The sequence below is a fragment of the Homo sapiens genome, chromosome 6 (assembly GCF_000001405.40).
Source record: "Homo sapiens chromosome 6, GRCh38.p14 Primary Assembly".
NCBI classification, from domain to species: Eukaryota; Metazoa; Chordata; class Mammalia; order Primates; family Hominidae; genus Homo; species Homo sapiens.
Window position 1 is genome coordinate 122,837,937 of NC_000006.12, and position 23,549 is coordinate 122,861,485.

The 23,549-nt window shown below is 44.4% G+C and overlaps 1 pseudogene, besides 2 other annotated features; it reads right to left on the bottom strand.

Annotated features, from left to right (window-relative positions):
• Window positions 6,622-7,214: an enhancer, noted in NCBI's record as "OCT4-NANOG-H3K27ac hESC enhancer chr6:123165703-123166295 (GRCh37/hg19 assembly coordinates)". NCBI's record gives its function as "activates a minimal SCP1, AML or CMV promoter by ChIP-STARR-seq in naive and primed H9 embryonic stem cells {active_cell/tissue: H9 hESC(naive and primed)}" and the evidence as "EXISTENCE:reporter gene assay evidence [ECO:0000049][PMID:30033119]".
• Window positions 7,215-7,808: an enhancer, noted in NCBI's record as "OCT4-NANOG-H3K27ac hESC enhancer chr6:123166296-123166889 (GRCh37/hg19 assembly coordinates)". NCBI's record gives its function as "activates a minimal SCP1, AML or CMV promoter by ChIP-STARR-seq in naive and primed H9 embryonic stem cells {active_cell/tissue: H9 hESC(naive and primed)}" and the evidence as "EXISTENCE:reporter gene assay evidence [ECO:0000049][PMID:30033119]".
• On the bottom strand, window positions 21,641-22,080 carry ATP5MGP2 (ATP synthase membrane subunit g pseudogene 2; annotated as a pseudogene).

Below are 23,549 nucleotides of genomic sequence, written 5' to 3' on the forward strand. Positions count from 1 at the left end.
TTGCCCTAAAATAGAAATCACCAACCCCATACCAGAGATGGATTTAATTAAAGTCACTTAAATACCTGATCCTGATAAAATCATTATGATTTTCGCTGGTTGCGGGCTTCATATGCAATGGTAAAATGCAATTTGGGGAGTATTTATTTTGAGATGCCATGTTAAGTCAATGCCCAAACTAATCTCCACAAGCCCTTTGATGACACTTTAATTCAAGCCAACAAAATGGTGTGTGAATTTTATTAGGGGCAATACAATATACAAATAAATTAGTTTAAACTATAATTTTTCTCTGTCATACAAATACTTTATTGACCAGAGAGCAACTCTTTACTGCCATCCCCTGATCTGTTGTGGAAATACTGCTTCTACTGGAGAAAACTAAATTATTCTATGATAGTACTAAGAAAAGAAAATTTAGTCTTTTAATCCCATGGATAAAGTTAAATGGCTTCTTTTCTAGGATGCAATATTGCCTGGATTTCAAATTGCTGTACATTAGCTTCTCCCCAAAAGTAATAAGAAACTATAGCATTTAGTTGATGCTATCTTAGAGCCCCGGGATCTCTTAAGTGGTGCTAACTTTTCTTCTCTTTCCGGAAATATTACTCATTCTCATTAAAAAAATAGATGTGGGAATAACTAAATTGAGTCAAGCTCACTCACTGATATAGCTTTACTTCACACAAAAGGGCCTTTCTATTGAACCTGTGGGTATTTAACTGAATTCCAGTAGCTCAAATACAATTTTATGAGAAATTCGTTGCCCCTTTCTTCCAGCCTGAATATGAAATTAAAATAGGCAGGAGAAGTTGAGAGGGTGTCCTGTTTAAGCAGGGTGGTTAGACCATTTACATTCAAGTTTAATATTGATACATGAGGTTTCGATCCTATCACGATATTGTTAGCTGTTTGCTTTGTAGTTTCTGCTGTGTTTTTGCTTTCTGGGGTCTGGGGGCTTTGTACTTCAGTGTGATTTCTGTTTGTTTTAGAATCATGGAATGTTAGAACCAGAAGTAAATGAGAGTCAACAAATCAGGTGCTAGCCCTTTGTGATAGTTAATACTGAGTGTCAACTTGATTGGATTGGAGAATACAAAATATTGATTCCAGGTGTGTCTGTGAGGGTGTTGCCCAAGGAGATTGACATTTGAGTCAGTGAGCTGGGAAAGGCAGGCCCACCCTTAATCTGGGTGGGCACAATCTAATCAGCTGTCAGCATGGCTAGAATATAAGCAGACAGAAAAATGTGAAAAGAGACTAGCTTAGCCTTCCCAGCGTGTATCTTTCTCCCCTGCTGGATGCTTCCTGTCCCCGAACATTGGACTCCAAATTCTTCAGTTTTGGAACTCTGACTGGCTCTCCTTCCTCCTCAGCTTGCAGACAGCCCATTGTGGGACCTTGTGAACGTGTGAGTTAATATTTAATAAACTCCCCTTTTTATATATATATATATATATATATATATATATATATATATATATATTCCATTAGTTCTGTCCCTCTAGAGAAACTAATACGCCCTTGCTGAAACCAAGGTCCAGAGAGTGAAGTGATGTTCAAGGTCACATAGCAAAACAGAGGTTGATTCTGCTACCCCTGATATCCTCTTCCACATAGGCTCTTCATGGTCTGAGTTTGGAAAACTCATCTTGTCTGTGTGCACCTGGGTTGTGATAGCTTCCCCAGCTTTCATCAAACCCTTAATTCTGTTGTGCTGCCCCCTGGTGACAAGGATTATCTACTACAGCTACAGAATTTGGCCCAAGCATGCTCCTCCCTCTGTATTCATTCAGTTGACAAATATTTATTGAGATCTACACTATGCCAGTCACCTTCTAGACACTGGAGCTTCAGTAGTAAAAAAGCAACGCACTATCTCTGTCAAACACATTAAATAACACACAAGGCTATGGAGATGATATATCAGAGAAGGGACAGGCATAGTGGCTGGAGAATTGCAAGTTTAAATCATGTGTTCCTAGGTTGACCTCTCTGGAAATAAGACGTTTGAGACAAGATTTGAAGGAAGTGAGGGCATAAGCCGTGCTGGGGCCAGGGGAAGCATGGCCTGGGCAGCAGAAATGTGAAGATGCCAAGGATCAAGAGGGCATCTGCTGGTTCTGAGGAACGGTAAAGAGGCCATTGTGCTCTGAGCTGAGTGAGATGCAGAGAATAGAGACAAGCACAGTGCCATGCAAAGGCAGAGAAGGGAAGGACCAGTGGGGCCTGCAGGCTGGAGCAAGAGTTTGGTTTTTCTCTGGATATGGGGACTGTTGGTGCCGTGACTCGGATCGGGGGACCTCCCTTGGGAGATCAATCCCCTGTCCTCCTGTTCTTTGCTCCGTGAGAAAGATCCACCTACGACCTCAGGTCCTCAGACCGACCAGCCCAAGGAACATCTCACCAATTTTAAATCGGGTAAGTGGCCTCTTCTTACTCTTCTCCAACCTCTCTCACTGTCCCTCAACCACTTTCTCCTTTCCACTCTTCAATCTCTCCCTTCTCTTAATTTCAATTCCTTTCATTTTCTGGGAGAGACAAAGGAGACACGTTTTATCAGTGGACCCAAAACTCTGGCACTGGTCACGGACTGGGAAGGCAGCCTTCCCTTGGTGTTTAATCATTGCAGGGACGCCTCTGATTATACACCCACGTTTCAAGGGTGTCAGACCACGCAGGGACGCCTGCCTTGGTCCTTCACCCTTAGCAGCAAGTCCCGCTTTTCTGGGGAAGGGGCAAGTACCTCAACCCCTTCTCTCCTTGTCTCTACCCCTTCTCTGCTTTTCCAGGGACAGGGCAAGTACCCCAACCCCTTCTCTCCTTGTCTCTACCCCTTCTCTGTTTTTCTGGGAGAGGGGCAAGTACCCCTCAACCCCTTCTCCTTCACTCTTAGCGGCAAGTCCCGCTTTTCTAGAGGAGGGGCAAGTACCCCAACCTCATACCTCTGTGCCCCAATCCCTTATTTCTGCACCCCAACCTCTTATCTGTGTGCCCCAATCCCTTATTTCTGTGCCCCAACCCCTTATTTCTGCACCCCATCCCTTATTTCCGTGCCCCGACCTCTTATCTCTGCGCCCCAACCCATTTTCCCACTTTTCTGGAAGGTAAGAACCCCCGAACCCCTTCTCTCCATTTCTCTACTCTCTCTTTATGGGCAACCTTCTACCCTCCATTCCTCCTCCTACTCCCTTGGCCTGTGTTCTCAAAAACTTAAAACCTCTTTAACACCTGACCTAAAACCTAAATGCCTTATTTTCTTCTGCAATGCCGCTTGACCCCAATACAAACTTGACAGTAGTTCCAAATAGCCAGAAAATGGCACTTTGAATTTTTCCATCCTGCAATATCTAAATAATTCTTGTCTTAAAATAGGCAAACAGTCTGAGGTGCCTGACGTCCAGGCATTCTTTTACACATCAGTCCCTTCCTAGTCTCTGTGCCCAGTGCAACTCGTCCCAAATCTTCCTTCTTTCCCTCCCACCTGTCCCCTCAGTTCCAACCCCAAGCGTCACTGAGTCTTTCTAATCTTCCTTTTCTACAGACCCATCTGACCTCTCCCTTCCTCCCCAGGCTGCTCCTCGCCAGGCCGAGCTAGGTCCCAATTCTTCCTCAGCCTCCGCTCCTCCACCCTATAATCCTTTATCACCTCCCCTCCTCACACCTGGTCCGGCTTAGTTTCGTTCCGTGACTAGCCCTCCCCCTCCCGCCCAGCAATTTACTCTTAAAAAGGTGGCTGGAGCTAAAGGCATAGTCAAGGTTAATGCTCCTTTTTCTTTATCCCAAATCAGATAGCGTTTAGGCTCTTTTTCATCAAATATAAAAATCCAGCCCAGTTCATGGCTCGTTTGGCAGCAACCCTGAGACACTTTACAGCCCTAGACCCTAAAAGGTCAAAAGGCTGTCTTATTCTCAAAATACATTTTATTACCCAATCTGCTCCTGACATTAAAACTCCAAAAATTAAATTCCAGCCCTCAAACCCCACAACAGGATTTAATTAACCTCGCCTTCAAGGTGTACAATAATAGAAAAAAGTTGCAATTCCTTGCCTCCACTGTGAGACAAACCCCAGCCACATCTCCAGCGCACAAGAACTTCCAAATGCCTGAACGGCAGTGGCCAGGCGTTCCTCCAGAACCTCCTCCCACAGGAGCTTGCTACACATGCCGGAAATCTGGCCACTGGGCCAAGGAATGCCCGCAGCCCGGGATTCCTCCTAAGCCGCGTCCCATCTGTGTGGGACCCCACTGAAAATTGGACTGTTCAACTCACCTGGCAGCCACTCCCACAGCCCATGGAACTCTGGCCCAAGGCTCTTTGACTGACTCCTTCCCAGATCTTCTCGGCTTAGCAGCTGAAGACTGACACTGCCCGATCTCCTCGGAAGCCCCCTAGACCATCACGGACACCGAGCTTCGGGTAACTCTCACAGTGGAAGGTAAGCCCGTCCCCTTCTTAATCAATACGGAGGCTACCCACTGCACATTACCTTTTTTTCAAGGGCCTGTTTCCCTTGCCTCCATAACTGTTGTGGGTATTGATGGCCAGGCTTCTAAACCTCTTAAAACTCCCCAACTCTGGTGCCAACTTAGACAATACTCTTTTAAGCACTCCTTTTTAGTTATCCCCACCTGCCCAGTTCCCTTATTAGGCTGAGACACTTTAATTATCTGCTTCCCTGACTATTCCTGGACTACAGCTATATCTCATTGCCGCCCTTCTTCCCAATCCAAAGCCTCCTTTGCATCCTCCTCTTGTATCCCCCCAACCTTAACCCACAAGTATAAGATACCTCTACTCCCTCTTAGGCAACCGATCATGCACCCCTTACCATCTCATTAAAACCTAATCACCTTTACCCTACTCAACGCCAATATTCCATCCCGCAGCACACTTTAAAAAGATTAAAGCCTGTTATCACTCGCCTGCTACAGCATGGCCTTTTAAAGCCTATAAACTCTCCTTACAATTCCCCCATTTTACCTGTCCTAAAACCAGACAAGCCTTACAAGTTAGTTCAGGATCTGCACCTTATCAACCAAATTGTTTTGCCTATCCACCCGGTGGTGCCAAACCCATACACTCTCCTATCCTCAATACCTGCCTCTACAACCCATTATTCTGTTCTAGATCTCAAACATGCTTTCTTTACTATTCCTTTGCACCCTCAATCCCAGCCTCTCTTCGCTTTCACTTGGACTGACCCTGACACCCATTAAGCTCAGCAAATTACCTAGGCTGTACTGCCGCAAAGCTTCACAGACAGCCCCCATTACTTCAATCAAGCCCAAATTTCTTCCTCATCTGTTACCTATCTCGGCATAATTCTCATAAAAACACACGTGCTCTTCCTGCCAATCGTGTCCGACTGATCTCTCAAACCCCAGCACCTTCTACAAAACAACAACTTCTTTCCTTCCTAGGCATGGTTAGCACGGTCAGAATTCTTACACAAGAGCCAGGACCACACCCTGTAGCCTTTCTGTCCAAACAACTTGACCTTACTGTTTTAGCCTAGCCCTCACGTCTGCATGCAGCAGCTGCCGCTGCTTTAATACTTTTAGAGGCCCTCAAAATCACAAACTATGCTCAACTCACTCTCTACAGTTCTCATAACTTCCAAAATCTATTTTCTTCCTCATACCTGACGCATATACTTTCTGCTCCCCGGCTCCTTCAGCTGTAGTCACTCTTTAAGTCCCACAATTACCATTGTTCCTGGCCTGGACTTCAATCTGGCCTCCCATGTTATTCCTGATACCACACCTGACCCCCATGACTGTATCTCTCTGATCCACCTGATATTCACCCCATTTCCCCATATTTCCTTCTTTCCTGTTCCTCACCCTGATCACGCTTGATTTATTGATGGCGGTTCCACCAGGCCTAATCGCCACACACCAGCAAAGGCAGGTTATGCTATAGTACAAGCCACTAGCCCGCCTCTTAGAACCTCTCATTTCCTTTCCATCGTGGAAATCTATCCTCAAGGAAATAACTTCTCAGTGTTCCATCTGCTATTCTACTGCTCCTCAGGGATTATTCAGGTCCCCTCCCTTCCCTACACATCAAGCTCGAGGATTTGCCCCACCCAGGACTGGCAAATTAGCTTTACTCAACATGCCCTGAGTCGGATAACTAAAATACCTCTTAGTCTAGGTAGATACTTTCACTGGATAGGTAGAGGCCTTTCCTACAGGGTCTGAGAAGGCCACCGCAGTCATTTCTTCCGTTCTGTCAGACATAATTCCTCAGTTTAGCCTTCCCACCTCAATACAGTCTGATAACAGATGAGCCTTTATTAGTCAAATCAGCCAAGCAGTTTTTCAGGCTCTTAGTATTCAGTGAAACCTTTATATCCCTTACGGTCCTCCGTCTTCAAGAAAAGTAGAATGGACTAAAGGTCTTTTAAAAACACACCTCACCAAGCTCAGCCACCGAAAAGGACTGGACAATACTTTTACCACTTTCCCTTCTCAGAATTCAGGCCTGTCCTCGGAATGCTACAGGGTACAGCCCATTTAAGCTCCTGTATAGACGCTCCTTTTTATTAGGCCCCAGTCTCATTCCAGACACCAGACCAACTTAGACTGTGCCCCCCAAAAAACTTGTCATCCCTACTATCTTCTGTCTAGTCATACTCCTATTCACCGTTCTCAACTACTCATACATGCCCTGCTCTTGTTTACACTGCCGGTTTACACTGTTTTTCCAAGCCATCACAGCTGATATCTCCTGGTGCTATCCCCAAACTGCCACTCCTAACTCTTGAAGTAAATAAATAATCTTTGCTGGCAGGACTATGCTGAATCTCCTTAGGCACTCTCTAATCAGATATCCTGAGTCGTCCCAATTCTTAGAACTTTTATACCTGTTTTTCTCCTTCTGTTATTCCATTTAGTTTCTCAATTCATCCAAAACCGTGTCCAGGCCATCACCAATCATTCTATACGACAAACTTTTCTTCTAACATCCCCACAATATCACCCCTTACCACAAGACCTCCCTTCAGCTTAATCTCTCCCACTCTAGGTTCCCACGCCGCCCCAATCCCGCTTGAAGCAGCCCTGAGAAACATCGCCCATTCTCTCTCCGTACCACCCCCCAAAAATTTTCGCTGCCCCAACACTTCAACACTATTTTGTTTTATTTTTCTTATTAATATAAGAGGGCAGGAATGTCAGGCCTCTGAGCCCAAGCCAAGCCATCGCATCCCCTGTGACTTGCACGTATAAGCCCAGATGGCCTGAAGTAACTGAAGAATCACAAAAGAAGTGAATATGCCCTGCCCCACCTTAACTGATGACATTCCACCACAAAAGAAGTGTAAATGGCCGGTCCTTGCCTTAAGTGATGACATTACCTTGTGAAAGTCCTTTTCCTGGCTCATCCTGGCTCAAAAACACCCCCACTGAGCACCTTGCGACCCCCACTCCTGCCCGCCAGAGAACAAACCCCCTTTGACTGTAATTTTCCTTTACCTGCCCAAATCCTATAAAACGGCCCCACTCTTATCTCCCTTTGCTGACTCTCTTTTCGGACTCAGCCCGCCTGCACCCAGGTGAAATAAACAGCCATGTTGCTCACACAAAGCCTGTTTGGTGGTCTCTTCATACGGACGCGCATGAAAGGGACCACTGGCCTTTCGTGAGTAGAGGTATGACATGAACCTTCGGAAGCCTTTGGAGTCAGTCCTCTGACTGCTGCATTGCGAATACACAGGAGTGGGGGCCACAGTGGAAGTAGAGAGGCCTAGCATGAGGCCATTGCAATAACAGAGACAAAACGATGGCAGTGAGTAGTGGGGAGACAGCTGTGAGGCAAGACCCTGTACATGTCCTGAAGTTAGAGCCATTAGCCTTTGCTGATGATGTGATGTAGGAGGTGTGGGAAAGAGACACATCAATGTTGACCCCCAAATGTTCTACCTGAACATGAAAGAATGGAGTGGCCATTAAATGTGATAAGAAAAGGCTGAGTGAGAAGCAGATTCTCAGAAGAAGATGAGGAGCTCAGTTTAGAACGTGTCAATGTTTCTATTTATTTACATATTGATTACTTACAGTGCTCTTCCTTCCCTCATGTAGATCCAAATTAGCATCTGGTATAATTTTCCTTCTATCAGAAGAACTTCCTTTAACATTTCTTTTAGTCCACATCTGCTGGTGACTAATCCCCTCAGCATTTTCTGAAAACATCTTCATTTTACTTTCAATTTTGAAAGATATTTTCACTGGATATGGAATTCTGGGTCAGCAGTTCCTGCCTCCCCCCACCTCCTACCCCTACCCCAATCAATAACTTTGGTTGCTTCAATGTCTTCTGACTTTTATAGTTTCTGACAAGAATTCTTTTGTCATACTGATCTTTGTCCTTTGAATTTAATATACTTTTCTTTCCTGGTTGAGCTGAAACTGTTTGCTTCGTCATGTGTTTTCAGCAATTTGATTATGGTATGCCTTGGTGTGGTGCCCTGTATGTAAGTCCTAATAAACTCATCTAGTTGTCAAGCTGGACTTGTCTGAGTCATTCTCTGGTCTCTCAGCACCTTCCTTGTTTGTGGGGGGAGAATGTTATAGTCCTAAGTTTTTCTCATAACGGTAGTTTCACTTGATATGCTGGAGGGTATTGCCAATAGGCAAAGGAAATCTTTTTTCTCTCCTTTCCATTTTATAGGGCTTATCACTGGAACCCAGTATTTTCTTTCTTTTAAAATTATATGCATACATATACATAAATTATGCACATACATGTGTGTGTGTGTGTGTGTGTGTATATATATGTGTATATATATATATATATATGTAGTCTGTGACAAAGCTTCAGGAGGTCCTGAGAACATGTGCCCCTGGTGTGGTTTTCTTTGTGTTTCTTCTGTTTGGGGTTCTTAGAGGTTCTGGGATATGTGGGTTTATGTTTTCATCAAATTAAGAACATTTTTTATCATTTTTTTTAAGGGTTTTTTTTCTGTCAATTCTCTTTACTGAGTCTTCAACTACATGCTGTTAGATTGCTTGATAGTGTCAAACAGTATCATTGATAAGGTCATGATGCTTTGTTCATTTTTTAAAAAGTCTTTTTTTCTCTGCGCTTTATCTAGGACATTTTCTATTGCTTTAAGTTTACTTTAATATTTTTAAGTTCACTGATCTTCAATTTTGTAGGGTTTAATCTGTTGTTAATCTTTTCCATTATATTTTTAATTTCTGATATTGTATTTTTATCAGTGCAAACTATGTGTAATTCTTTTTATAATATTTCTACCACTTCTTCCCTCATAATGTTAATATTTTCTTCCACTTCCCTGATTGTATGGAGTATAATTATAGTAGAATTTGAAATTTTCTGTCTGCTAATTTCATCATCTCTGTAAATCTGGTTCTGTTGCTATTGAGTGACTTTCCTTTTGGTTATGGGTCATATATCCTCCTTCTTTGATGTCTGTTATTATTATTGTTTTTAAAATTATTATTTTTTTTGAGACAGAGTCTCACCCAGGCTGTCACCCAGGCTGGAGTGCAATGGCATGATCTTGGCTCACTGCAACCTCTGCCTCCCAGGTTCAATCCATTCTCCTGTCTCAGCCTCCCAAGTAGCTGGGACTACAGGCATGTACCACCACACCTGGCTAATTTTTGTATTTTTAGTAGAAATGGGGTTTCACCATGTTGGCCAGGCTGGTCTTGAACTCCTGACCTCAAGTGATACGACCGCCTTGGCCTCCCAAAGTGCTGGGATTACAGGCATGAGCCACTGCATCTGGCTTGATGTCTGTTATTTTTTATTTGAAGACAGACATTATACATTTTGTGTTGTCAGGGGCTATATTTTGTATTCTTTTTTTTTTTTTTTAAATTTATTTTTTTATTGATAATTCTTGGGTGTTTCTCACAGAGGGGGATTTGGCAGGGTCATGGGACAATAGTGGAGGGAAGGTCAGCAGATAAACAAGTGAACAAAGGTCTCTGGTTTTCCTAGGCAGAGGACCCTGCGGCCTTCCGCAGTGTTTGTGTCCCTGATTACTTGAGATTAGGGATTGGTGATGATTCTTAACGAGCATGCTGCCTTCAAGCATCTGTTTAACAAAGCACATCTTGCACCGCCCTTAATCCATTTAACCCTGAGTGGACACAGCACATGTTTCAGAGAGCACAGGGTTGGGGGTAAGGTCACAGATCAACAGGATCCCAAGGCAGAGGAATTTTTCTTAGTGCAGAACAAAATGAAAAGTCTCCCATGTCTACTTCTTTCTACACAGACACGGCAACCATCCGATTTCTCAATCTTTTCCCCACCTTTCCTGCCTTTCTATTCCACAAAGCCGCCATTGTCATCCTGGCCCGTTCTCAATGAGCTGTTGGGCACACCTCCCAGACGGGGTGGTGGCCGGGCAGAGGGGCTCCTCACTTCCCAGTAGGGGCGGCCGGGCAGAGGCGCCCCTCACCTCCCGGACGGGGCGGCTGGCCGGGCGGGGGGGCTGACCCCCCCCACCTCCCTCCCGGACGGGGCGGCTGGCCGGGCAGAGGGGCTCCTCACTTCCCAGTAGGGGCGGCTGGGCAGAGGCGCCCCTCACCTCCCGGACGGGGCGGCTGGCCGGGCAGGGGGGCTGACCCCCCCCACCTCCCTCCGGGACGGGGCGGCTGGCCGGGCAGAGGGGCTCCTCACTTCCCAGTAGGGGCGGCCGGGCAGAGGCGCCCCTCACCTCCCGGACGGGGCGGCTGGCCGGGCGGAGGGCTGACCCCCCCACCTCCCTCCCGGACAGGGCGGCCGGCCGGGCGGGGGGCTGACCCCCCCCACCTCCCTCCCGGACGGGGCGGCTGGCCGGGCAGAGGGGCTCCTCACTTCCCAGTAGGGGCGGCCGGGCAGCGGCGCCCCTCACCTCCCAGACGGGGCGGCTGGCCGGGCGGAGGGCTGACCCCCCCCCACCTCCCTCCCGGACAGGGCGGCTGGCCAGGCGGGGGGCTGACCCCCCCCACCTCCCTCCCGGACAGGGCGGCCGGCCGGGCGGGGGGCTGACCCCCCCCACCTCCCTCCCGGACGGGGCGGCTGGCCGGGCAGAGGGGCTCCTCACTTCCCAGTAGGGGCGGCCGGGCAGAGGCGCCCCTCACCTCCCGGACGGGGCGGCTGGCCGGGCGGAGGGCTGACCCCCCCACCTCCCTTCCTGACGGGGCGGCTGGCCAGGCGGGGGGCTTACCCCCCCACCTCCCTCCCGGACGGGGCGGCTGGCCGGGTGGGGGGGCTGACCCCCCCATCTCCCTCCCGGACGGGGTGGCTGGCCGGGCTGAGGGGCTCCTCACTTCCCAGTAGGGGCGGCCGGGCAGAGGCACCCCTCACCTCCCGGACGGGGCGGCTGGCCGGGCGGGGGGCTGACCCCCCCACCTCCCTCCCGGATGGCACGGCTGGCCGGTCGGGGGGGCTGACCCCCCACCTCCCTCCCAGATGGGGCGGCTGGCCGGGCGGGGGGTTGACCCCCTCCCACCTCCCTCCCGGACGGGGTGGCTGCTGGGCGGAGATGCTCCTCACTTCCCAGATGGGGTGGCTGCCGGGCGGAGAGGCTCCTCACTTCTCAGACGGGGCAGCTGCCGGGCGGAGGGGCTCCTCACTTCTCAGACGGGGTGGTTGCCAGGCAGAGGGTCTCCTCACTTCTCAGACGGGGCGGCCGGGCAGAGACGCTCCTCACCTCCCAGACGGGGTCTCAGCCGGGCAGAGGCACTCCTCACATCCCAGATGGGGCGGCGGGGCAGAGGCGCTCCCCACATCTCAGACGATGGGCGGCCGGGCAGAGACGCTCCTCACTTCCTAGATGTGATGGCGGCTGGGAAGAGGCGCTCCTCACTTCCTAGATGGGATGGCGGCCGGGCGGAGACGCTCCTCACTTTCCAGACTGGGCAGCCAGGCAGAGGGGCTCCTCACATCCCAGACGATGGGCGGCCAGGCAGAGAGGCTCCTCACTTCCCAGACGGGGTGGCGGCCGGGCAGAGGCTGCAATCTCGGCACTTTGGGAGGCCAAGGCAGGCGGCTGGGAGGTGTAGGTTGTAGTGAGCCGAGATCACGCCACTGCACTCCAGCCTGGGCACCATTGAGCACTGAGTGAACGAGACTCCGTCTGCAATCCCGGCACCTCGGGAGGCTGAGGTTGGCGGGATCACTCGCGGTTAGGGGCTGGAGACCGGCCCGGCCAACACAGCGAAACCCCGTCTCCACCAAAACCAGTCAGGCGTGGCGGCGCCATTGCAGGCACTGGGCAGGCTGAGGCAGGAGAATCAGGCAGGGAGGTTGCAGTGAGCCGAGATGGCAGCAGTACAGTCCAGCTTCGGCTCCGCATGAGAGGGAGACCGTGGGGAGAGGGAGACAGAGGGAGAGGGAGAGCCGGAAAAGTTTCTTGTATAGCCCCGGCTCTTAGAGCCAGGCTGGCAACCTTTGATATGTAAATGCAAGCCATTAGAAACTAGGTCCACCCAAACATGGTGATTCCCCTGCCTTCTTGCCCTTTCCCCACCTATTTTGTATTCTTTTAAATAGTGCTGAACATTGTTCTGGCATGCAGTTAGTTAAGTTGCTTGGATTCAGTTTGATCCTTCTGAGGCCTGCCTTAAGCTTTTTTAGGGTGAATCCAGGGTACCTTTTGGTTCAAATTTAACTTATGCCCAATACTAAGCGGACACTCTTCTGAGGATTTTACCCAATGCTCTATGTATTTCAAGGTCTTTCTCCTTTGGTTGGTGGAAACATTGAGTATTTTCCACCCTGTGTGAGTGTTTAGAATTTTTCTGTCTGCTGTTTTTTAAAGGGGTTTTCTCCAGTCTCAGATAGTTTTCTGTCGCGTATGCTCACATCAGTACTCAGACAATGACTGAGGTGCTCCTCTGCAGTTCTTGAATCCTCTCTGTGTAGCTCCCTCCTCTCTGCCTCACAGATTCTAGCTGTTTTGGCCTTTCTCAACTCAGATCTCTTCTTCTCTACTCTGTGAGATACCTTGGCTCTGGGTTTCTTCTGTCTCCTCTACAGCCTGGAAACTGTCCAAACAGTAAGCTGATAGTAAGGATAGAGCTCATCTTGCTCATTTTTTTTCTTCTCTTGGGGAATCACTGTGCACACTACCAATGTCCAATGGCTGAAAATTATTGTTTCATATATGTTGTCTGATTCGGTAGATGTAAAAGCCTAGGATGCTGCTGGTGGTGGTTAAATCCAATTTCTGTTATTCCAAACTGGTAGAAAGCAGAAACTCTTAGGGCATTTTAATTTGGGGATATGTCTGTTGAACATGCAAGTAGTGTTGTCATGTAGGCATTTAGATATATGTGTTTGGAGATCCGGAAAGAGTTCCAGATTAGAGATACACATTTGTTATATACATTTAATCACATATTGCCTTGGAAAATTTCTTTCCAATGGCCCCATCCCTCTTATCAGAACTAAACTGTTACACATTCTATCTTATCAGGTGTCACTAAGGAGATAGGCTAAATAAAATAAGGTAATAGTGTCATTGAGTCACTCTTTCCAGGTACATGTTTATCCGTTAATAGGGCCTACCCAAGTCAATATTCTTGCCAACCAAACACAAATAAATTTTACCTGAATTGCCAATTCTTTTCCATTAATAGTGGCTCCCTGAAGTGCTATGTACAGAAGAAATCTGAGGCCATGTCCAGGCAAAGAGTGCCATGGCTGATTACTTATTTCTGTTGTGGAAGCGGGAAGGAGAATAGGGATAACTGTACCATGTGTTATGCTGCCTGTTTTGACATAGAACAATAAATGGATATATTTGGGGCAAGTGATATACAAACAACACAATATAGACTATCAACTATTTTGCTTTTATTGAGAAAGATATTACTAGTTATTTCTGTAGAATAACTCATAAGCATATATTCCCAGCCCCAAATTAGTTAATAACACAAATTCATGTTGGATTTTTTTCTAGCACAATGTGGTTGGAAAATAGAACCTCTCCTTATGCAACTCATAGGTGGTTGTAGTGTGACAGGTCCCTCACCAGGATACCTAAGGGCATATGTCTGCCACCTGAACCCTGAAGGCTGGGTGGTGAGCCAAGGCCATAGTGCCCAACCCAGGTGTCCCTGAGAAACCAAACATCCTGGAGAATATCTGAGAACATACCAAGAAAAACAGTCTCATTGTTCAAACACAGTCAGCAAAGAGCCAAAAAATTAGCTTAATAGCATGCCGCCATCCAGGAATGCCCTGTATGTAAGTCAAAATAAATCACCTACTCATCAATCTGGACTTGTCTGAACCATTCTTTGGTCTCTTGGCACCTTCCTAGTTTGAAAGGGGGGAACGTTACAGCCCCAAGTTTTTCTCTTAACAGTGGCTTCATTCAATATATTGGAGGGTGTTGGCAACAGGCAAAGGAAATCTCTTCTCTCTCTTTTTCATGTCATAGGGCTTATCACTGGAGCCCAGCTGTCTTTCCTATATAAGGGGAAATCTAGAAGAAAAAAAAAATCGTATTTTTTAAACTAGAAGTTAAGAAAAGCTCTACTTGGAACATCAGAGCTAAACCTTCTTTAGATTATATTGAATTGTATTTTCAAGTTTATTTGAATGATATTTGGAATATAGTAGGCTTTCAATAAACAATTTGTGAATGCATTAAGTGACTTTTCTATTTTCAACCTTGAATGGATATTGTATTAGTCCATTCTTACACTGCTATAAAGAAATACCTGAGACGGGGTAATTTATAAAGAAAAGAGGTTTAATTGACTCACACTTCCACAGGCTGTACAGGAAGCATGACTGAGGCAGGGGGACCCAGGAAATGTACAATCATGGCAGAAGATGAAGAGAAAGGAGGAACGTTTTACATGGCCAGAGAAGGAGGAAGAGAGCGAAACGGGAGGTGCTACACAGTTTTAAACAACCAGATCTCTTGAGAACTCACTCACTATCATGAGAAAAGCAAGGGGGTAATCTGCCCCCATGATACAGTTACCTCCCACCAGTTTCCTTCTCCAACACTGGGGTTATAATTCGACATGAGATTTGGGTGAGGACACAAATCCAAACCATATCAAATACCTAGGCTTATTGCTGAGACCTTTCCTTGTAGCCAAATGTTGACACTCTGGGATCACAAAACACCTCAGGCAAGTCTTGAAAGACCTCAGCCACATAAAAGATACTAATTGTGGCTGATCAATACCTTCAAAAGTGTGAATTTAATCCAGATAACAGGGTCATGATACTTAATTTTATGTGTCAACCTGACTGGGTTAAGGAATGCCCAGATAGCTGGTAAAACATTGTTTTTACGTTTTTATAGGGGTGTTTGTGGGGGTGTTTCTGGAAGACATTAGTATTTGAATCAGTGAATTGAGTAAAGAAGATCCTCTCTACTAATGTGGGCAGGCATCATTCAATCCATTGAATGCCAAGACAATAAAAAAGTGGAGGAAGGGCAAATTCTCTCTCTCTTTCCCATTGAATTGGCACACCCATCTTTGCCTGCTCTTGGATGGCAGAGTTCTTGGACTCTGGGACTTACACCACCACCCTCATCTCTGCTTCCCTGGTTTTCAGACTGGGAGTTTTGCCACTCAGTTTCCTGGTGTTATTAGTCAGCCTTCTCCCAACGGACAGAATCAATAGGATATATGTATATATAAAAGGAAGTTTATTACAGAGATTTGGCTCACACATTTACGTGGTGAAGTCCCATATTAGGCTGTCTGCAGGCTGGGGAAAGAGAGAAGCCGGTAGAGGCTCAGTCTAAGTCTGAAAGCCTCAAAACTAAGGAAGCTGACAATGCAGCCTTCAGTCTGTGGCCCAAAAGTCTGTGGCCCAAAAGTCCCCAGGAAGCTGCGGGTGCAAGTCTTAGAGTTCAAAGACCAAAGAACCCGGAGCCTGATCTCAAAGGACAGGGGAAGTGAAAGCACGCATCTGGCACAGGAAGAACAGAGAGCCAGGAGACTTGGTAGGCAAACCTATCCCACCTTCTTCCACCTGCTTTGTTCTAGCAGTGCTGGCAGCCAATTGGATGGTGCCCACCCATACTGAAAGCAGGTCTTCCTTTCCCAGACCACTGACTCAAATGTCAGTCTCCTCTGACAACACCCTCACAGACACACCCAGGAATAATACTTTACCAGCCATCTAGGCATTCCTCAATCCAATCAAGTGACACCTAATATTAACCATCATGCCGGGGTCTCCAGTTGCAGATGTCAGACTGTGGGACTTCTGGACCTTCATAATTGCTGAGTCAATTCCCATAACATATCTCCTCTAATATAGAATTTATATGCATCCTATTGGTTCTGTCTTTCTGGAGATCCCTGACTAATACAAGGGCCCAACGTGAGGTGCAGTTTCCATCTTTCCACACCAGTTACCCATCATGATTTCTCTTCAGTTGACTCAAGCAGAGTTAGTTGCACCTGGGAAGTTTGTTTGCACTTCTCATTTAATTCAGTTTGACAAGCATTTAACAAGACCTTACTCTGTAGCAAGGTTTCTCAACCTTGCCACTCTTGACATTTTGCCTTGACATTTTGTTGTCTAATTCTATGCTGTGCTGTGCTGTCCTGCACATTGTAGGATGTTTAGCAATATTCCTGGCATTCACTCACTAGATGCCAGGGGTACGCTCAACCCCCCTTAGTCTTGATAATGTCTCCAGACATCAACAGATGTCCCAAGAGTAAAACTACTGTTACTTGAGAAGCACTGCCCTAAACTCTCACCTTTGTAAATAAACCTTCCTTGAATTATCGTATTTTAAGTATGACATCTGTATCCTGTTGGAATTAGTGACTGATACAGAGTGTATGCAAAGCTAAATGAATTTGAAGTTCATTTTGAAGTGCACAAGGAGAAATAACATGGTTGGTCTTAGACTATTTGGTTATCTTATACAGTAATTAAAAGTAAATAACTTTGGCTAGTGGAAAGAGTGAAGTGTTTGATCTAGAATTGGTAGAATGCCTAGACAGGTGATGATGAGGGCCTAAGTCAAGGCTTCCCTACTGAATGAATGGAGAATAGCTGTACAGGAACATGGACCCCCTCACCCCTCAGGATGGTTGAAGGATTCTGAGTCTTGTTTCCAGTAACTTATACAATCAGATTTTTGTCCAGGCACAGTGGCTCACACCTGTAACCCCAGCACTTCGGGGGGCTGAGGCAGGTGGATCACCTGAGGTCAGGAATTTGAGAGCAGCCTGACCAACATGGCAAAACCCCATCTCTACTAAAATACAAAAAATAGCCAGGTGCGGTGGCAGGTGCCTGTAATCCCAGCTACTCAGGAGGCTGATGCAGGAAAATAGCTTGAACCCAGGAGGCGGAGGTTGCAGTGAGCCGAGATCATGCCACTGCACTCCAGCCTGGGCAACACAGTGAGACTCTGTCTCGGAAAAAAAAAAAATAAAAAGAAAGAAAGAAAAAAGATCTTTTACCCCTATGGCCTGTACTTATAGAATATAATTATTTTCTAATGTGAAAATAATTTCACTTTTATGTGGAAAGTGTGAAAACCCTTGCCTAAACTAATTCATGGGCAATGAGGACAGTAAAGAGGAATTATATTTCCAAGATGCTGATAAGGCAAACTTGATTAGACTTGGTGATTGATTAATATGGGGGTGAGAGATAGTGAGGAGTCAAGGATGACCCAAGTATTTGCTTAGGTGCCTAAATAGGTAGCGGTGGTTTTGCCAACTAAGATTGGGAACACAGAAGGAAGAGAAGAGCATGTTTTGGAGCAGTGGTTGTCAAAGTGTGGTTCCTGGACTAGCATCATCGGCATCACCTGGGGACTTGTTGGACATGCAATTCTCAGACTGCACCCTCGTCTACTCTGGGGGTGGGGCCCAGTGATCTAAGAACCTGTCCAGGTAATTCTGATCTATGTTGGAATTTGAGAGCTTCTGTTTGGATGTAAGGTAATACTTTCCACCTGAGGCTTGTTGAATGTTCCAGCAGGACATTCAGCGAAGTTTGTGGTCTCGAACTTCCTTGGCTTCCTTGTGCTTAGTCTTATGGGTTTTTGTTGTTGTTATTGTTTTGTTTGCTTGTTTTTTTTTTTAGTGAAGGAAGAGCTGTCAAGCTCCTTTTTACCCCCTTGTTCCTTGAGGCCAAACAGAATCACAGAGAACATTTCTTTTAGAAAAATGATACACACAAAACTTGGATAAACGATGGTTATGGTGTTGATATTTCAGTCTGAAGTCTACTTTTTTTCAGAGGAGGAGCAAACCTGCTGCCTCTTCTTCCTCCCACCCATTTGTTTTCTGTATCAGGGATCAGCAATGGCCCATGGGCCAAATCTAGTCTCTGACCTGTTTTTGTAAACAAAATTTTATTGGAACATCACCATGCCCATTTGTTAACATATTATCTATGACTTCTTTTGCACTACCCAGCAGAGTTTGGTTGTGACAGAGAATGTATGAAGTGCAACATCTAAAACTTTTCTTCTCTGGCCTTTTAGAGAAAAAGTCTACTGACCTCTCCTTGAGACCAGCGGTTCTCAAAGTTCAGCATTCATCAGAATCCCTGGGGTGGGGAGAGGGGTTTGAAACACAGGTCACCAGGCCTCCCCTCCAGTGTTTCTGATTCAGTAGGTCTTGAACGCAGCCTGGGAATTTACATTTCTAACAAGTTCCCAGGTGATGCTGATGTTGCTGGTCTGGGGGCAACACTTTGAGAATGTATTAGTCCACTCTTGCATCTCTCTAAAGAAATACCTGAAACTGGGTAATTTATAATGAAAAGAGGTTTAATTGGCTCATGGTTCTCAGGCTGTACAGGAAACATAATGCTAGCATCTGCTTGACCTCTGGGGATGCTTCAGGAAACTTACAATCATGGTGGAAGGTGAGCGGGGAGCAGGCACTTCACATGGCCACAGCAGGAGCAAGGTGGTGGGGGTGGTGCCACACACTTTTAAACAACCAGATCTTGTGAGAACTCACTCACTCTCATGAGGACAGTACCAAGGGAATGGTGCTAAAGCACTCAAGAAATCCACTCTCATGATCCAGTCACCTCCCACCAGGCCCCACCCCCAGCACTGGGGATTATGGTTTAACATAAGGTTTTGGTGGGGACACAAATCCAAACTATATCAGAAAACTACTGCTTTCAACAGTGTCTTTGTACCCTCAGAACTCACCCTTGCCTAGATCAAGGAAAAAACTGCCTATACAAGCTCAATCAGGCTCTGCTGCTACCTCAGCATGGACTGTCGCTCTTATGGAGCTCCATTTTCATCCTACTGGTTCCCTCTATGTGTGAGTCCTCTCTGCACAAGTCTTTAAGATAAGCTATTTGCTTACATTAAAAAAAAAGCCTTCCTTTCTCCTTATTTTTCTGAGGTACAATATATTAGAATGTTGACATCTAGATCTTTTTAAGAATTAGCAACTATTCTCATTGGTTATGCTTATGATCATCTTTTTCTGTTTATTCTTATCTATTTACCTTGTTCCTGTACCAAATCAAATAAATAATTTGAAGACACAATTTTTGTTTTCCTTATTTGAGTGAAAGCTTTTAAAGAGAGGGAAACTGTTTTTCACAAGTTGGAGAAATTTGTGAAATTCACAAATTTCTCCAACAAACACAGTATCAGTCTGAAATAGGATTAGGAAGAAGTTGAGATAGAATCAAATAGAGGTGTTGACTACTTTCTCCATTTTCACGAGCTAGGCTTCTACAAGGTTGTTTCATTACTTTGTTAGAAGTGCTGTGGCTTAATCACCAGAACACCAGACAGGGCCGTATGTGAATGTAGGTGAGAGTACATTCAATAATAAAAGCTTTTGTAATATTCAGGAGTTTTCATATGGTTGCTTTCTTCCCTTCCTACAGAAAATATAAAGGTGACTGTCTCTGTGTTTATGATGTAATATAAGGTTGATATAATTTAATTTTGAACTGTAAGTTCATAGAAAGTAGGACTATATGTGCCTTATTAGTTGAGCAACTATGAGTAAAGTACTATATCTACCCAATAGCTTAATAAATTCATGCAATAACATTTCTCTTCCCCTTCTTCTCATACTGTATTTATCAGAGTCTATGGTTGAGGAAAAAAACTACCAAGGAATAGTGAAGGTTTATAAGTCAGTTTGTTTCTCCCCATTTCTGCCCTGAAAAAAAAATTGGCAGTAGGAAAATCAAAGTCTGATAAACTTATCATCCAACTTTTAAAAAACATAAAAATTGATGAATTGTTGGGATGAAGAGCCAGGAAAATAGCTACCCAATCTATAAATTGCTCAGCCAGAATGATGTATTAGCAGCCACTCTTTAAATATGAAATGTACTAGTACTGGTTCTATCCATTTATCATAGATTTTATGCCTCAAATATATTCATAATGTATTACAGTGCTGAAGTTCATTTCTCACACATTTATATATTTAATATATTCCCCCCAGAAGATTTGAATGTGGTTAAAGGCAAAGTTGTATTTCTTCTTGATAATAATAAAATAATAAAGTGTTGCTCATAAAAGAAGTTCAGTATGAATTTATGGCTGGAGCCAGGCTGTATTTTATGCTGCAGTAGTAATGCTCTTGCTCACCTGACAGTGGCTTCTTTCAACATCATTACTCTTCTGGTTTAGGACTTTGTGATAAAAAAAGTCATCTTTTTAAAACTGGCACTTTCAGTTCTTGATAATTCAAGATGATGGGCTTTCAGAAAAGCACATGCCCTGAAGAATACCCTAAGGAAACCAAGTGTCTCTAATTACTGTGTCTTTGATTTAATACCAGATGGTAATAATATGACTATTACAAAATGGCAGAGTTGTTTCTACTTAGGAATACATTAGTAAAACTATTCTGTGGTATTAGAAGGAAGGATGGTTATACCAGTTACCTCTGGAAGGGTCATTACTTACTGGAAAAGAGCATGAGGGGTCTTTTGAGGTGCTGGAACAGTGCATTCTGTTTCTCCGTCTCAGTGCTCATTTCACAAGTGTGGTCATTTTGTGTAAATACATTGACTTAGGATTTGGGTCCTTGATATATGTTAAGCTTCAGTAAAAATGTCTATTAAATAAGAAAAGGTACAATCTATTAGGGTGACTTGGAAAATCAGCCCTATCTTTTTCTGAAGTTGTCAACTCTATATAAATTGTCGACTCTATATAAAGACCAATTATTTTCTACTTTGGAAAATCTGCTTAATTGTTTTTCTTTTTGTATTGTACAAGCAACATGATGTATGGTGCTTAGGCATCCCCTTCTTCTATTTTCTCTGGGATCCTCCCCCTTGCTGCTGACACTGCTTCTTTTGTGGCATACACATTTAGGGGAGGCCTCCATGACAACATGGCAAGAGGTTTTATTTTTTGTTTTATTTTACATAATTTATTATAATTGGAAGGTTCTCGGAATGACCCTGGAAAGATGCTGATGGTATCTATTCTTCCAGTTTACTTCTACAAATTGAAATAACACTTTAGGGACAAAATGTTATATATATACATACATATACAAGTGTGTGTTATATTTTCATTCCATAACAATGGATATGCATATATCCATTTGAACATCCCTACTCCAAAAATTCAAAATCCCAAATTCTCCAAAATCCAGAACTTTTTGGTTACTGACATGATGCCACAAGTGGAAATTTTTTTTTTTAATTTTGACAAATCTTATTTAATTCAGATAGCAGTCTGATCACACATGGTCCAACAACATTCAAATAATAAATCAAATATAATCAGATGTTAAATACTGGTCTTCAAACATCATAGCCAATGATGCCACGCTTGCCTATGATCTCTCCGACATAAAACCACATAACACCTCAGTGGCCACCAAACCATTCAGCACAGCTTCCTTAACTGTGAGTTGTTTGAAGCTACCAGTCTGAGCACTATTGACTATTTTTTTCAGACTCTGAATAGCTCTAGGGATCTCAGCAGGGGTGGGAGGAACCAGCTCAAACTTGGCGTAGTACCAAAATGTGGCCAATCAAGGCTTTGAGTAAGTCACAGCAGCGTTCACCAGCACCAGGGTCTTTTCCACAAGGTTACGGAAAAATTGGGCCAATGGTTCTGGGATGGAAAGTCTGTCGCCCTGAATGCCACAAGTGGAAAATTCTACACTTGACCTCATGTGATGGCTCACAGTCAAAAGGCAGTCAAAACTTTGTTTCATGTAATTAAAACATAAGGAAATTTTGTGTTTAGAGAAAATCCGAAATCTGAAAAACTGGTCCCAAGCATTTTGTATAGAGATAGTCCACCTGTAAGTAACTTCTGCAGTGAGCTGCCATCAGCTGAACAGGAGCTGATAAACTCTTTCACACAGAACTGCCAATAGATAACACTTGTTATCCTTTCCAGACCTATATGCTTTATTGTGGAATGACAACACTACACACACATATAATATATATGTATATACTATATATTATATATAATATGACATGTATAAATATATGTAACATTATATATACATATATGTATATTTTATACATATATATTATACATAAAATATATATAAAACACATTATATATATATACACACACACATATATATAATGTAATACATTATCCAAAATGCATGGGACCAAAAGTGTTTGAGATTTTGGGTTATTTTGGATTTCAGAATATTTACATGTATGTAGTGAGATATTTTAGGAATGAGACCCAAAGTCTAAACATGAAATTCAGTTATGTTTCATATACACCTTATACACATAGCTTGAAGGTAATTTTGTAGAATATTTTAAATAATTTTGTCCATGAAACAAAGTTTTGACTGCATTTTGACTGCAACCTATCATGTGAAGTCAAGTGTGGAAGTGGAATTTTTCACTTGTTATATCATGTCAGTCCTCAACAAGTTTTAGATTTTGGAACATTTTGGATTTTGAATTTTCAGATTAGGGATGTTCAACCTCGATATTATGTTGTTTGGACTGGAGATAGGAAAGCTTTGGGAGGAAAGAAGTCATTTAGTATTTGGGTGGGGGACATGCTTTCCATTCTGACTGAGCACCACAGAACCACTCCCCAAAACCGGTGGTCTATGACCATATTTTGGCAAATCCCTTTGCAAGGGGTTTCCTTCAGACATGGGTAACATAAATGGGTGTAGTGGTGAAGATGCACCACTGGATTTGGCTCTTGCAGGTGCTTTGTCAGGACTCATGTATGACTGGCATTAACAGATTTTGAACATGTGCAATTGGCTACTCCAGATGCCCTGGCCTGCTGGATAGACAATGAAATACTTCAAGCCATCAAGTTAATAAAAGCATCTGATAGTAAATTACATCTACTCCTCTAGATTAGATTTCTACAGATGAGTGTATCTGTTTGCATTAAAGGCACTTATGCATGCATTCAGATCATTATGCTCACAACGCTAAGAGAAACATTTTCACAATTTTCGATATATACATCTAGTAGCCAAAATATACATATAAAAACATTATGTTAGCATAATATATTTATATGGCAAGACGGAACATTTTAAATATCATAATTAGAGTTCAGGATAGGTCCTCCTGTCTCTTCCATAATTCCTATCCTAAAAATT